General features: G+C 41.8%; 1 annotated feature.

Annotated features, from left to right (window-relative positions):
• Positions 270-470: a silencer, noted in NCBI's record as "peak3558 fragment used in MPRA reporter construct". NCBI's record gives its function as "represses an SCP1 promoter by STARR-seq MPRAs in K562 erythroleukemia cells {active_cell/tissue: K562}" and the evidence as "EXISTENCE:reporter gene assay evidence [ECO:0000049][PMID:32103011]".

The raw sequence follows: 16,293 nt of genomic DNA, 5'->3' as shown, positions 1-16,293 counted from the left end.
GATTTTAGTCTAAGGGATAATCGCACTCAAACTTTATTGCACTCATAATATACACTCATGAGCAGCCAAGGAAACTCAGTATTCTGTATGACGAAGGAAGTTCCAGGATGCTTCCCTCTTGGCTTCCTGTCTGCCTACCCTGGTGTAGAGTACAAAAATAATTGCCTATTTAGATAGCAACATTCCATGGTCCAGCTAGACGTCATCAACCTCTTGAGCTTCCCCACATCCTGTTCAATTTTGGCTCCTATTCAAGGTCTCCAACAGACCTGGCCCTGTATCTAGACACCATTCCTATTTCCTCTATCAGGCCCCAGCCCCAGGAGAGTGGCTCCTGTGGTCGCTGTCCACAGCACTGACTGGGATGTTGCCATGAACTCTAGTTTCAGCACCATGGTCAGAGTCCAGGAAGCAACAAGGCTTCCACTGTTTTCTGGTGTGTTAGTTGATACATTTGTATGAGCTGGGCCCCCTCTTAGAGACTCCTAAATAGAGATTCCCTGAAGGTGTCTAATAAATATTTAGCGAATGCATCAGAATAAATTGGAAAAAGACACATCCACTCCATGGATTCTGAATAGGAATGGAATTCAGAAGCTTATGATGTTAGCCGCTCACCCAGCAGGACAACCACTAGCACGGCCCAGGGTGGCATTTAGAGTTGGCTCTTCCTCATCCACCTCAGGTCATCTCTTTCCAGACCATGTTCAGGAAACCAGTTTATAGGGTATTGACTAAAAAGCAACAGGCTTGGGGCCAGACACAGTGGCTGACGCCTGTAATCCCAGCACTTTGGGAGGCTGAGGAGGGATGATCATGAGGTCAGGAGATGGAGACCATCCTGGCTAATATAGTGAAACCCTGTCTCCACCAAAAATACAAAAAAAAAAAAAAAAAGAAAATTAGCCAGTCGTGGTGGCGGGTGCCTGTAGTCCCAGCTACTTGGGAGGCTGAGGCAGGAGAATGGTATGAACCCAGGAAGCAGAGCTTGCAGAGAGCTGAGATCACGTGACTGCACTCCAGCCTGGGCAACAGAGTAAGACTCGGTCTCAAAAAAAAAAAAAAAAGCAACAGGCTTGGAGTTACATCACAGTACTTTCAAAACCTACATCTGCCTCTTGCTATCTCTGTCTCCTTGGGAAAGTCACTTTGCCTCTCTGAGGCTCACTTTGCTTTTCTATAAAATTGCAATAATAAAAATGTCTTCTTTGTAAGGATATTTGGTGGGTTGACAATCAGAGATTATTATATTCTACCTCTCATAGGAAGCAATCAGTTGAACTAACAGGGAAGACTCTGGAGCCAGGAAGCCTGAGATTTGATCACAGCTCTGCCCCTTTTAACTTCGTGAGTTAGGGAAAGTTACCCACATTGCTATTGTGTCATATATAAACTTAGTATAGTGCTAGTATCTACCTTACATGGTTTTGGTGGGGAACTACATAGTTAATACATGTGATGTACAAAGTGAAATTCTACCATGTTCTTAGCAGTCATTCAATAATGTGGGCTATTTTTTACTATGATTATTATTTTCATTATATGCCTAGAGATAACCTGATGAACTATGCTCAGTAAATGACAGCTGCTTTTATGAAGAATTGCTAGAATTGCTGTGAAGGTTCTTAGGCATCTGACACATTCCCTGGTTTATGTTCTAACATTCTAGACTCTCCATCTGAGGTTTATAGACTCTTTATCAGCCCTGAGGGATGCAGGTATTTGTTTATTACTAGATTCATGCAGAAAACATCCCCTGGGTCTCTGGCGTGCCATATCCCATGCAGGAAATGGGTGATGTGAAAGATGGATATTAGAAGCTTAGAATATCTTAGCTTAGTTTAGATAGCTAAGCTTCTAAGCTTAGATTAGAAGATAGCTTAGAAGACTATAGCTTAGGTAGCTTAATGGCTTAGAATCTTCTAAACTTATTAGAAGATAGTTTGGAAGCTTATCTAGCTTAGATAGTTTAGAAGAAGCTTAGCTATCTTCTTAGCTTAGCTTAGAAGAAGCTTAGCTATCTTCTTAGCTTAGCTTAGAAGATAGCTTAGAAAATAGCTGCATTTTTTAATAAATAGCTTAGAAGGTATATAAGCTCTGGGAAACTTTGTAATTTTGAGTTGGTCTGGCAATGTTTTCCAGGCCTTCTCCCTGTAACCGGTAACAGAAATAAAAACTCTCTCCCTCCCCAGTTCATCCGCATCTCATTATTGGGCCATGAGAAATAGCAGCCCCACCCTCAGTTTGGTCTGGGAACACTTTGGGGGTAAGATTAGGACTGTAACCCGCAAGTGTTCTTGGGGCAAACAGGGTCACTCTCTGTCAAAACATCTGAGTCATTTCTCCTTCCTTACTACCTCTTTTCTTCCCTGCTCACAGCCCTCAGCTGATACCATGGATTCTGTCTCCATGCTTTGGGCAAGAGTGATCCCTGGAGGAAATGAACAGGTGTTAATGTAAGACATGAGGGTGGAATTTACTGATGGTTGACCTTGATCATGTAACACCTCTTTCCCATTTTCCTCCTTATAGAAGAAGATAATGACCCATATCTCAGGGTTGGTTTGAGGATGAGTATTGCCTGAGACATGTAAGGCTCTCAATCTCGTGTAATCTCTTTTACCAGATCCAGACACGTGGTGTAAGAGCCTTTATGTTCCAAAGGTAAGTCAGGAACAATCCGTCATCACGGGTGGAATGGTAAAGTGTCAGAAAAAGTTACAGACTGCAGGAATCCTGGAGCTCATCCCGAATTCTGTACTCAGCCACATTAGAATTTAAGATGTAAGGTGAAAAGATCAGCTTCATGTCTGAACACTGTGGGACTTAGGACGTCTCTCACTTATTAGGAATCCTACCTCACATTAAAAAAAAAAAACACTGGGTCATGTTGCAACTTTTTAAGATAAAAGAAATCTGCATAGAACCATGCTCTTTTTTCTTAAATTTCCATTCACTGAAGTAAAATACAGATAATGTAAAATTGACCCTTTAAAAGTATACAACTCTAGGCCGGGCGCAGTGGCTCACGCCTATAATCCCAGCACTTTGGGGGGCCGAGGCGGGTGGATCACCTGAGGTCAGGAGTTCAAGACCAGCCTGGCCAACATGGTGAAACTCCGTCTCTACTAAAAATACAGAAAAATTAGACAGGTGTTGTGGTGGCCACCTGCAATCCCAGCTACTTGGGGGGCTGAGGCAGGAAAATCGCTTGAAACTGAGAGGCGGAAGTTGCAGAGACGCGAGAATACACCACTGCACTCCAGCCTGGGCAATAAAAGTGAAACTCCGTCTCAAAAAAAAAATACATATATATATATATACAACTCTGTGGCATTTAGTAGATTTTCATTGCAGCAACTGCCACCTCTAGTTCCCAAAGATTTTCATCACCCCAAAAGGAACCCCGTTCCACGGAGCAGTCCCTCTCCTCTCCCTACCCCTGCTCAGCCCCAGGCAACCATCAATCTGCTTTCTGTCTCTGTGGATTTCCAGCTGCTGGACATTTTATATAAATGTAATCATATAGTATGTGACCTTTGGATCTGGCTTCTTTCACTTAGCTTCATATTTTGAATCTCCAAATTGCAGCATGCATCAGTACTTCATTTTTATGGATGAGTAAATTTCTAACATATGGATGCAACACGTTGGTTGGTGGACATTTGTGATACTTTTATCTTTTTATTGTGAATAATGCTTCTATAAACACTTGGGCACAAGTGTTTGGATATTGTCCAATGAGATAAGTCTCTTATCATTTCAGGAGATTTATTTGCCAAAGTTAAAGATGTGCCTGGGAGACAGATCTATGCCTTTCTCTGAAGATGATTTTGAGGGATCCAAATTTAAAGGGTAAAGGGCGGGATATTGAGAAGCACACAATTTTCATGTAAGAGGAGGGTAAGGAAAAATAGTTACGCATGCCTTTGTCTAGCTCAGTGAATCTGTATTTTTTTTAAAAATAGTCATTCATGCCTTTGTCTGGTTCAGTGAATCTGCACTTTTTACATCAGACGACAAAAACAAATGGGGCAGAGGAAAATATGCAGTGAATCTGCATTTTACATAAGATAAACATAGACAAAATTGGGTGGGGGAATGATCAGATATGCATTTGTGTCTGATGGGCTGGGGAGACTGTACCTGGAAAGATAAGTTATCAATATACACTGGAAAGATAAGCTATCAATATACACTGGAAAGATAAGCTATCAATATGCATTGGAAAGATAAGCTATCAATATACACTGGAAAGATAAGCTATCAATATACACTGGAAAGATAAGCTATCAATATACATTGGAAAGATAAGCTATCAATATACACTGGAAAGATAAGCTATCAATATACACTGGAAAGATAAGCTATCAATATACACTGGAAAGATAAGCTATCAACATACACTGGAAAGATAAGCTATCAGTATACACTGGAAAGATAAGCTATCAGTATGCACTGGAAAGATAAGCTATCAGTATACACTGGAAAGATAAGCTATCAATATACACTGGAAAGATAAGCTATCAATATACATTGGAAAAGATAAGCTATCAATATACACTGGAAAGATAAGCTATCAATATACACTGGAAAGATAAGCTATCAATATACACTGGAAAGATAAGCTATCAACATACACTGGAAAGATAAGCTATCAGTATACACTGGAAAGATAAGCTATCAGTATGCACTGGAAAGATAAGCTATCAGTATACACTGGAAAGATAAGCTATCAGTATACATTGGAAAGATAAGCTATCATACACTGGAAAGATAAGATATCAATATACACTGGAAAGATAAGCTATCAGTATACACTGGAAAGATAAGCTATCAATATACATTGGAAAGATAAGCTATCAATTTACATTGCCATGGTGAAATTTTAACAGCTCACTAGGAATCTTCTTGTGGGCAAAACGTGGGGGAGGCATGTAGCTTTTCACCTTGTAGCCATCTTATTCACGAACCAAAATGGAGAGGCAGGTTTGTGTGACCCAGTCCCCAGCTTGACTTTCCCCCTTAGCTAAATGAGTGTGGGGTCCCAAAATTTAATTTCCTTTCACAATATCTACTATCAGTCTTTTTTTTTATTGTGGTAGGAAGAGTTAATTCTCCTACCAATTTTTAACTTCATGATGCAGTATTGTTAACTAAAGACAAAATGTTGTAGGGTACATTGCAAACTTCATTCGTCTTGTATAACCTAAACCTTTAGTCACATACCTAGAAGTGAAATTTCTAGATCATAGAGTAATTCTAGGTTTATTTTTTATTTTATTTTATATTATTATTTTATTTTATTTTATATTCAAAAGGTACATGTGCTTGTTTGGTGTATGTATGTGTGTGTGTGTATATATATATATAAATAGATAGATAGATTTTTTTTTTTTTGAGATGGAGTTTCACTCTTGTTGCTCAGGCTGGAGTGCAGTGGTGCGATCTCGGCTCACCGCAACCTCCACCTTCCAGGTTTAAGCAATTCTCCTGCCTCAGCCTCCCGAGTAGCTGGAATTACAGGCATGCACCACCATGCCCAGCTAATTTTGTATTTTTAGTAGAGATGGGGTTTCTGCACATTGACCAGGCAGGTCTCGAACTCCTGACCTCAGGTGATCCCCCCCATCTCTGCCTCCCAAAGTGCTGGGATTACAGGCGTGAGCCACCGCACCCAGCCCTAATATATTTTTTTAACCTCTTGCCCTCCTCCCACCCTTCCCCCCTTTTGGGTTTCCCTGTGTTTATCTCCATCTTTATGTCCATGAGTGCCTATTGTGTAGCTCCCACTTGTAAGTGAGATCATGCAGTGTTTGGTATTCTGATTCTGAGTTAGTTCACGTAGGATCATGGCCTCCAGCTCCATCCATGTTCCTGCAAAGGACATGATTTCACTATTTTTTATGGCTATGCTGTATTCTGGGCTATATATTTACCACTTTTACTTTATCCATGCCACGATGGATGGACATCTAGGATGGTTCCATGACTTTGCTATTGTGAATAGCACCACGGTGAACATACGAGTGCGTGTGTCTTTTTTAATATAATTATTTCTTTTACAGTAGTGGGATTGCTGGGTCAAACGGCAGTTCTGTATTTAGTTCTTTGAGAAACCTCTATGCTGTTTTCCATAGAAGTTGAGCTAATTTACCACCAACAGCATATAAGCCTTCCTAGGTTCATCTTTTAAGGAACTGTCAAACCGCTTTTTTCTTTTTCTTCTTTCTCTCTTTTTCTTTCTTTCTTTCTTTTCTTTCCTCTCTCTCTCTCCCCCTCCGTCCCTCCCTCCCTCCCTCCCTCTCTCTCTCTCTCTCTCTCTCTCTTTCTTTCTTTCTTTTTGATGGAGTCTGGCTCTGTCACCCAGGCTGGAGTGCAGCGGCACGATCTCGGCTCACTGCAACCTCTGCTCCTGGGTTCAAGCTATTCTGCCTCAGCCTCCTGAGTAGCTGGGATTACAGGCACCTGCACCGTGCCCAGATAATTTTTGCACTTTCAGTAGAGAAGGGGTTTTGCCATTTTGGCCAGGCCGGTCTCAAACTCCTGACCTGAGGTGATCCTCCTGCCTCGGCCTCCCAAAGTGCTGGGATTACAAACGTGAACCACCACGCCCGGCCTCCAAACCACTTTTCACAGTCACCGAAAAATTTCACAATCATGCCAGCAGTGCGTGAAGGTTCTCTTTCCGCACACCCTTCCTGACATTTGTTATTTTTCAGAATATGGCCAATCCAGTGTTTGAAGTAGTGTCTCACTGTGGATTCCTATGAATTTTTATAATAAGTAATGGTTTGGGTGTCTTTTGATGTGCTCACATTTATTCCTATATCTTGGGAGGATGTTGATAGAGGGGTCCAAAATTCCAGTTTGACAGAATAACTTCCAGATCTATGCTACAACATGGTGACTATAGTTAATAACGATATATTCTATTCTTGAAAATCACTGTGAGAGTAGATTTAAGAGTTCTCACCACAAACAGTAGTAAGTATGTGAACTGATGTGTATGTTTATTAGATCGATTTAGCCAACCCACAAATAGGAATGTTGCAATACCACATGTTGTATACAGTAAAAATATACAATTTAGGGAAACTTTTTTTTTTTTTTTTTGAGACGGAGTCTCTCTTTGTCGCCCAGGCTGGAGTGCAATGGCACAATCTTGGCTCACTGCAAGCTCCGCCTCAATTTAGGGAAACATTTTAAAAGCTGTGTTACTAACATGAAGTTCTACATTCACACGACTAATGCCAGCTTCAATGGACACGGGTTGGAGGTTTCTTACCTGAGACCATGAGCTCCAGTGATATGGCTTTGGTGACTAGGGTTTTTGGTCTCATGCCAGTTTAGATAAAACAATAAGGACACACGTGGAGTGGTTTTAAGGAGCAAAAAGTTTAATAGGCAAGAAAGAAGAAAGAAAGAAGAAAAGAGCTCCTCTGTACAGAGCCAAGGGAGGGGAGCTTGGAACAAAGAAGAACCCCGTGTGTGGTGGAAAAGTGGTTGCTTATATTGGGAGGCTGGAGGAGGCAAGTGTCTGGTTTGCATAGGGCCCAGGGGATTGGTTAGGCCAGGTGTGTCATTTACATAGCCCTCGAAAAACTTGTTCCTCCCACCTTAGCCTTTTAATATGCAAATGTGGGCCACCATGATGCTTTGTGTTATTTGGAGGTGGCCATCACGCTTGGCACAGGTGGTGATAAGAAGATGGCAGAAATCACCATATTGCATGAACCCATGTTTTAATGGCCAGCATTTGAATTTTAAAGCTTGCCGGCCAGGCTCTTTAAGACAGCTTCTCTGTTAGAAAAGAGATGGTTCAGGGGTTGTTTCTTATTACAGGAAAATTTCCACCAAGAACCTTTACCCTTACTATGTGCCTAAAATAATTCCTTAATAACTCCTGTATTATTCCTCCCCTTAAAGAGAGGCAAAGCTAACTGCTGTTAGTGCGTGTTGGATCATGTTTCTTTCTGGCTACTTCCTGCTGAAAAGGGGTGTTGTGTGGGGGAACAGCAGTTGGGCCTTTTTCTGAGGTTGATTTAAGGTTTCTCAAAAGAATGGCGTGTCCATGTGTGGCTTTGCTTGCAGCACCATTTGGAGTTTAATTACTTTTAGGCAAAAAGAGAGAAATTTTACAAGAAGGTTTAAAATATAGGGTTAGAATATGAGTATTAAGATTACCACCATTGGGGCTGGGTGTGGTGGTTCATGTCTGTAATCCCAGCACTTTGGGAGGCCAACGCGGGCAGATCACCTGAGGACAGGAATTCAAGACCAGCCTGGCCAGCATGGTGAAACCTCATCTCTACTAAAAATACAAAAATTAGCCGGGCATGATGGTGAGTTCCTGTAATCCCAGCAACTTGGGAGGTTGAGGCAGGAGAATCACTTGAACCCGGGAGGCGGAGGTTGCAGTGAGCTGAGGTTGTGCCACTGCATTCCAGCCTGGGCAACAGAGCAAGACTCTGTTTCAAAAAAAAAAAAAATACCATCGTTAGTGGCAGTCCTACAGACCCTAAGTGACAGTGGAGTTTGACACCTGTTGTTGTATCAATGGATTGCAATACAGGTTTTCCTCCACTAGATGTCGGTGTACATTACCAGGAACGTTACTGTAAAAGTAACTTTTTCCTAGAGAAAAGCATATGTTTCCTCCTTAACGTGCCAGTAGAGAATAACTTTAGGCTTAGGCCATTTTTACTACTTGCAGTATGATTGGGAGAAATACATTATTGGGTGGCTAAAATAACTTTAGCGTTAATTTTGACTTTTTTTAATTATTAAATTTTTTATGACTTTCACAGACTCTCTTACAACACACTTAAACTTTTAGACTTGTCCTAAACATTCTTCCTTTAAACAACCAGTTATTTTCTTTTAGGACAAGTATTCACCATACAAAATCCTTTTTTATGTAAATGTTTTTATAACCTTTTTATAGCTTACAGTGCATTATATCACCAACCTTTGGTAAAAAGTTTTATTACACTTAATGCTAGTAAAACTTTAATGCTTGCTTTTTATTCGTTACTATTACTTCTGCTATAAGCAAAACAACCTTGATTAAATTTTTTCTGCAATTATTAATTTTGTTATAAGGATGATAATCAGGCAAAATATTACCACAATTACAATTTTACAACCAGAATTCTACATTGTGGGTGCCACAGAGTATAGTTTCATTGCAAATAGCAGTGTGACTACAACAATTTTCACAAGAATGGCTTTTTTTTTTTTTCTGGCCAGTAATTTTTGTTTAAAACTTTACTTGCTGGCCGGGTGTGGTGGCTCACACCTGTAATCCCAGCACTTTGGGAGGCCCAGGCGGGTGGATCACGAGGTCAGGAGATCGAGACCATCCTGGCTAACATGGTGAAACCCCGTCTCTCTAAAAATACACAAAATGAGCCAGGCGTGGTGGCGGGCGCCTGTAGTCCCAGCTACTCGGGAGGCTGAGGCAGGAGAATGGTGTGAACTCGGGAGGCGGAGCTTGCAGTGAGCTGAGATTGCACCACTGCACTCCAGGCTGGGCAACAGAGCGAGACTCTGTCTCAAAAAAAAAAAAAAAAAAACTTGCCAAGATATAACATTTTCCTTTGGGGATTCAGAAAGTTACAAATGTGATTTTATGAATATTTAAATTTTGCTGCAAATAAGTGTTAAAAAGAAGTTTTAATATTTGGCCGTGAACTTTGTGAGAAAAGGTTAGAAATAATAAAACATATTTGGTGGGTAGGAGTGGGACTGAGTAAGATGTGTAGCCCTTACTTAGTTACTTATCTTCTATGATTTTTAGCTTAAGATCTTCTATTTTTTTACATTAATATTTAGCTTTTTTTTTTTTTACTGTTAGGGGTTGGTTTTTTAGCTTTTTGGCTTTGACTTGAGTGTGATGCATGTAGAAGTTGATTCCTGTAACTTTTACTGCCGAGGAGGTTGAAAGACGAACAGTGTAGGGCCCTTTTTAGCTTGGCTTAGGGAAGGAGACAGAGATGAGAGTTCTTACTAATACTAAATTTCCTGAGTTAAATAAAGGTGGTTTTATTTCCTAGGGCTGGGCTTCTGCTATTGTGTCAATTTTTGTTGGAAGTGAGCTAGAGAGGTTACGTGGTTAACCATTCTAGAGGTTTCCCGTCTGAAAACAATGTTTGAGCCCATTGATAAGTTTTATTTTTTCCTGAGTGAAAAGCTTAGGACTTCAAGAACTTTCTGTTGGCTGGAGGCTGACCAATAAATTTGCCATCCTGACTGTAGCCATCCTGAGGGCTGAAAAGTATGCCCTTGAGAAGTGGCTTATTCTATTTTTTCAGGGGAATACTGAGGTGTGATTTCTCTTATGGAGCCTTTTTAGATTAGAAGGGGCTTGAAGTGCATTAAGGCCTTGAAGCTTTTATGCCTTTGACTTAGCTGCCCGATTGGCTAACTTATTTCCTTTGGCTACCTTATTGTTTATTCTTTGATGTTTCTTACAATGCATCCCTGCTACTTTTTGTGGAAGAAAAAATAAGAATAACTTGCTAATTTTTTGGTGATTTTTTATAGGAGATTTATTAGCAGTAAGAACATGTTTTTTTGTTTTAAATGGCAGCATGAGCATGGAGAACCAAGAAAGCATACTTGGAGTTAGTGTAAATGTTAGCTGCCTTTTCCTTGCTTAATTTAAGTGCTTTTTAAAGAGCTATTAACTCAGCTAATTGAGTGTTTGTGCCTGGAGAGAGTGACTACTGCTTATTCTGCCTTATTTACTTTTTGCTTTACGGGCTGTTTACCAGCTAAGAGCTCCCCCTAGAGGACAGTGATTCTGCTACATTATGTGGGCTGTAAACAGTTAAATTATTTTTATTTTCTAGGGTTAACTTGCAGGCTTTTCTGACTAGTAGAGCTATCATGACAATGGCTTCAATGGCTTGAAAGCATGTTTTTTTGATTTTTTGTTTGTTTGTTTGTTTGTTTTAGATGGAGTTTCACTCTTGTTGCCCAGGCTGGAGTGCAATAGAGCGATCTCGGCTCACTGCAACCTCTGCCTCTTGGGTTCATGCAATTCTCCTGCCTCAGCCTCCCAAGTAGCTTGGATTACAGGCATGTGCCACCACACCTGGCTAATTTTTTGTATTTTTAGTAGAGATGAGGTTTCTCCATGTTGGCCAGACTGGTCTTGAACTCCCAACCTCAGGTGATCCACCCACGTCAGTCTCCCAAAGTGCTGGGACTACAGGCGTGAGCCACCGTGCCTGACCGAAAGCATGTTTTAACTAAGATTGAGAAAATATTGGATTAGACTTTTTCCTAAGATGCCCCTTACGGTTGTGATGAAGGAAGAAGGGAGGCCTGGATTAGAGAATAGAAAAGAGAGAGAGACTAGCTTTAGTGTTTAGAAGGAGGTCTACTTTCCTTCCTTTAATTTCCAGAATTATCCAGGGCTCTTGTGCTATAATGGCAGTTTGAGCTACTGGAGCCTAGGTTCAAGCACCAGGATCCATCAGTTTTGCTGGACCATCTGTGAGACTGGTTTTGAACTCAGTGACCTCCATGTCTGGGGGCAGTTCTGTTTTCAGTGGTTTTTGCCACAGGCTGGACAGAGTGGAGGTTGCTTCATTTTGCTGACTGGACATTCTGGCCTGCTACACTAATAGCAACTAGAGGATGCATCTTGGTGATCTGGGACTTTGCGAGCCTTCAAAGCTGCTGCTAGAGACTTTGTCCTTCTCCTGAGCTTTTTTTCTTTCTTTTGGGACTCCTCCTGGTCCATATTATAAAAGACCAAAGTGGCCACCTTCAGGAGGTTTTTTAAGGTGCTATTTGGTCCTGTAGCTTTCTTTTGTAGTTTTTTTTTTTTTTTTTTTAATATTGGGAGCTGCCTGTGTAATAAATTTGTCCCTCAGGATGAGCTGTTACTTAACTGGATTAGAGAATAAAAAGATATACTTTTTTAGTGCCTCTTTTAGCCTTTTTATAAAGGCTACAAGATTTTTATTTGGCTTTTGTTCCATTATAGACAGTTTAGAGTAATTGAGAGGTTTGGCCCTGGTTTTCTGTAGGCCTTTAAAAATGCATATTAAAAAGGGCTTTTTCATTCATTTGGGTCACCATGATGTTTTGAATACATGGTGTTGTCTGGAGGTGGCCATCACACTTGGCACAGGTGGTAACAAAGAGAAGACAGTAGGAATCACCATATTGAGTGAACCCAGTTTTTAATGGTTGGCATTTGCACATTAAAGCTTGCTGGCCGGGCCATTTAAGCTGTCATTTCTGTTAGAAAAGAGATGGTTCAGGGATTGTTCCTTATTACTGGAAAATTTCCACCAAGAACCTTTACCCTTACTATCTGCCTAAAACAATTTCTTAGTAACTCCTGTATTACCAGGAGGTCACTGGGGGAACAACAGCTTGGGGTAAACACTCTATGAGGCATAGCACCTGTAGGTCCCCGCATGGGCTGAGGTCGCAGGACTCATGGAGAATTCAACCTCTACCACAGAGTAGGGTACTTTGATATTAGATACGAGGGTGGGGTCTTGTCAGCTGCATCCTCCTCAGATAGAAGGAAAGTGTCTGTCCACCCAGCTTTGCATCTGACACAGCAGGGCCATGTTCTCTCCTGAGACCACAGTGGGGCCTGGTTGCACCAAGAGGGAGGCTGTCTCACGGATCTGTCCTGGAGAGAAGAAGGATGGGTGAGGAGCCGCCCCACCTTGTTCTGAGCTGAGACTTCCCCAGGCCTCTCTCTGGGACCCTCAGTATCTCTGTCTCTGTTTTCTCTGAGTTTCCCCGTCCCCGCCCAATCCATCCTCTCTCTCTCTCTGCCTCTCCCTCCCTTGAGACCCCCACCCCTCATCCCAACCATCACCACCTAGGCTCCCCTGGCAGGGCCTGTACAGAGCCTGGGTCCCTAACTGAACCCGCTGGGCTTCTCACCTGCGATCAGGATGTCCAGGGGGGTCACTGGGGGCTGACCACCTAGAGGAGAGGTTGTGTCCACTGAACATCTGTACTGGCCCCCATGGGAGATGCTCACAGGGCCTAAGGGGAAGTCATCTTGGGAGAACTTCTGGCCAGAACTCTGGGGAAGGTGATGTATCTTTTTCTTGGACAGAGAGAATATTTTGCAGCCAACATCAGAGCAACACAGGAGGGTCAACCTCTCTCCATGGGCCATGACAGGACCCTGTGGAGTCAAATGGGAGGGCTCCCTAGGCACACCTGGAGTGTGCGAGGAGCTGGGACTCAGAGGGCTGGTTCCTTCCAAGCCTCTTCTTTCACCAGGTTGCCTCCAGGTATGGTCAGAATCTAGTGAGCTGCTGGAGCTCTTGGTCTCAGGTGCTAAAGTCTGCTAAACCAGACTGGTAAACCTCCACCTGTGGCTAGAAGTCATGGGGTCTGCCAGGATCAGGGCTTGGAACTGTCCATCGGACTGTTTTTCGGGGTCCAGGAGACAGAATAGCTTGTGTTCACCTTCCACGGTCAGAATGAACCTGTCAAATCCCAGCCGTGAAGGACATAATGGTGTCACCTTACCTCCTGAGGTCAGGACAGGGCTGGGCTGAGCTGAGAGGGTGGATTTGCTGTAGAATCCTAGGACAGAAGGAAGCACCATGTTAAATGGGGCTCACACCTTCCACATCATACCCCAGGGCTGGGCTGTGAGAAGGGAGACACCCCCTGAGAGCTGAACCCCTTCCTGAATGCAGTGCCTGGGGCTGGGATCCCTGAGTGTCCTCTCATCTGTCACCACCAGTTCCAGGCGGTCACTGGGTTCTGACAAGCCTGCAGGGCTGAGAAAGTGACAGCGATATCACTGTGCATAGTGCAGAAATGCAGGGAAATAGGGGAAGAAAACATAACTCCTCCACTGACCCTGGGTCGTGGGTATTCTTTCTACCAAACAATTCTCTGCTTGGGCTTCCCTTTTTTTGTTACTATTTTCTAACAGTCTCCTCCACATCTCCCTGGATACAGCACTTGATTCATTTCTGCCTCCTCAGTGCCCCTTGTCTAGTTCTCAGAACCTTCCTCCTCCTCTTTCCATGGTCCTGCCCTGAAGCCTTAGGGACATTGGGTGGGTTAGCACTCCAACTTTGAAAGGAAAGCTAATCTTTATTTAAATAATCATCTGTCATCCACTGTCTGTGGCCAGGACTTAGCAGCAAATACATCTGGTGCCTTCCTCAGTTGGACCCTTTCCAATGAGGCTGACTGAGGGCTGAGCACACAAGTGCATGAGAAGTGCTAATAGTTCAGCCAGAGTGCAATTAGAACCTGCCCTTTCTGTAGGAGGAGGATGGAAGAATCCTTGCTCAAAAGTATATGCTCTCACTTCTTCTATTCAGCATAGTAATAGAAGTCCTAGACACAGCAATTAGGCAATAAAAATACACAAAAGCACCCAAATCAGATAAAAAGTGATATTGTCTCTGTTTGCTGACATGATTTTATATATAAAAATCTCTAAAGACTCAACCAAACAACTTTTAGAACTGATCCACGAATTTAGTAGAGTTGCAGGATACAAAATCAACATGCAGAAATTGGTAGCATCTCTATATACTAAAAACAAACTATCCAGAAAGAAATCGAAAGAAAAATTACACTTATAATAGCTAAAAAATTACTTAGAATTAAATTTAACCAAGGAGGTTTAATATCTCTGCACTAAAATCTTTATAACATTGATGAATGAAATTGAACAAGACGCATATAAATGGGAAGGTAGCTTATGTTCATGGTCTGCAAGAATTAACATTGTTAAAATGTTCGTATAACAATGAGAACACATGGACACAGGGAGGGGAACAACACACACTGGGGCTTGTAGTGGGAGGGCGGATGATGAAGGGAGGGAGAGCATCAGGAAAAAGAGCTAATGCATGCTGGGCTTAATAACTAGGTAATGGGTTGATAGGTGCAGCAAACCACCATGGCACAAGCCTACCTATGTAACAAAGCTGCAGGTCCTGTACATGTGCCCTGGAACTTTAAAAAAAAGTTCATACCTGCAGACTCAATGCAATTCCTAACAAAATTCCAAGGTCGTTTTCCACAGAAATAGAAAAACAATCCTAAAATTTGAATGGGACTACAAAAGGACCCCAAATAGCCAAAACAATCTTGAGCAAAGGGAAGAAGGGGATATCACACTATGGAATCCCCAAATATCCTACAAAGCTACAGCCAGGAAGACATCATGGAACTGGAATAGAAACAGGTACAGTGATCAGTGCAACAGGGATGAAAGCAAAGAAGGAAACACACATATTTATGGTGAATTGATCCTCAACAAAGTTTCCAAGAACAAGAGAGGGCAGTCCTTTTGAATAAATGGTCCTAGGAGAACTGAGTCTCCATGGAGTGTGGAGGTCTGGGTCCTCCCTGGGCTAGTGGATGGCCAGAGCAGTATACACACTCGGCTCAGCTGAACGTCCCCTTTCCTGGGAGGAAGAAGGCTTCATTATTTTCTGTTTGAGGGTAAGCTGTGCAGCTGGGCATAGGACACATCCTGGGGATATTCATATGAAGAAGAATGAAATTGAACCCTTATCCCATATACAAAAATGGGTGGGAGAAAAGCTTCAAGACGTTGGTCCGGGCAAGGTTTTTTTGGATATGGCCCTGAAAACACAAGCAACAAAAGCAAAAATAGACAAAAGGTGTGGCTTCTAAACAGCTTCTGCAAACAGAATGAAGAGACAACTCAGAAATGGGAGAAAATAGTTGCAAGCTGTATACCTGATAAAGGGTTAATATGCAAAAATATGTAAGGAACTAAAACAAAGCAACAGCAAGAAACCAAAAACTACTTGAAACATGGGCAAAGTAGCTGAACAGGCATTTCTCAAAAGAAGACATACAAATGGTCAGCAGCTATATGAAAAGGTGCTCAGACAAAAGCTTTGTCTATTGAGATGATAATTTTTCATTCCTTTTGTTAAAATACTGAATTACATTGATTGAGTTTTTGAAAATTAAGCTATCCTTGCTTTTCATAAACAAAATCAAAGGATAACAAAAAACCAGTGTGGTCATGATATACTGTCTATTTTATAGAGACATGAATCTTACTTGTTAATATTTGTTAAGGGATTTATATTTCTGTGAGAGATCTTCTATGACTTTCCCATTCTGTAGTTTCCTTTTCAGGTTTTGGTATCAACTTGTTCCTAGTCTGATCAAATGTATTTGTGTAAATATATACAAAATATTCTCAGGGAAAATTTATGCAAGTTTGTGTGTGTGTGTGTCTGTGTGTTTCATGAGTGCATAAGAGTTTGAAAAAACCACCAACAAACC

This window comes from Homo sapiens, chromosome 19 (genome assembly GCF_000001405.40).
Source record: "Homo sapiens chromosome 19, GRCh38.p14 Primary Assembly".
Lineage (NCBI taxonomy): Eukaryota > Metazoa > Chordata > Mammalia > Primates > Hominidae > Homo > Homo sapiens.
The sequence above is the reverse complement of the archived record's forward strand: the minus strand, read 5'-3'. Positions and strand labels throughout refer to the sequence as shown.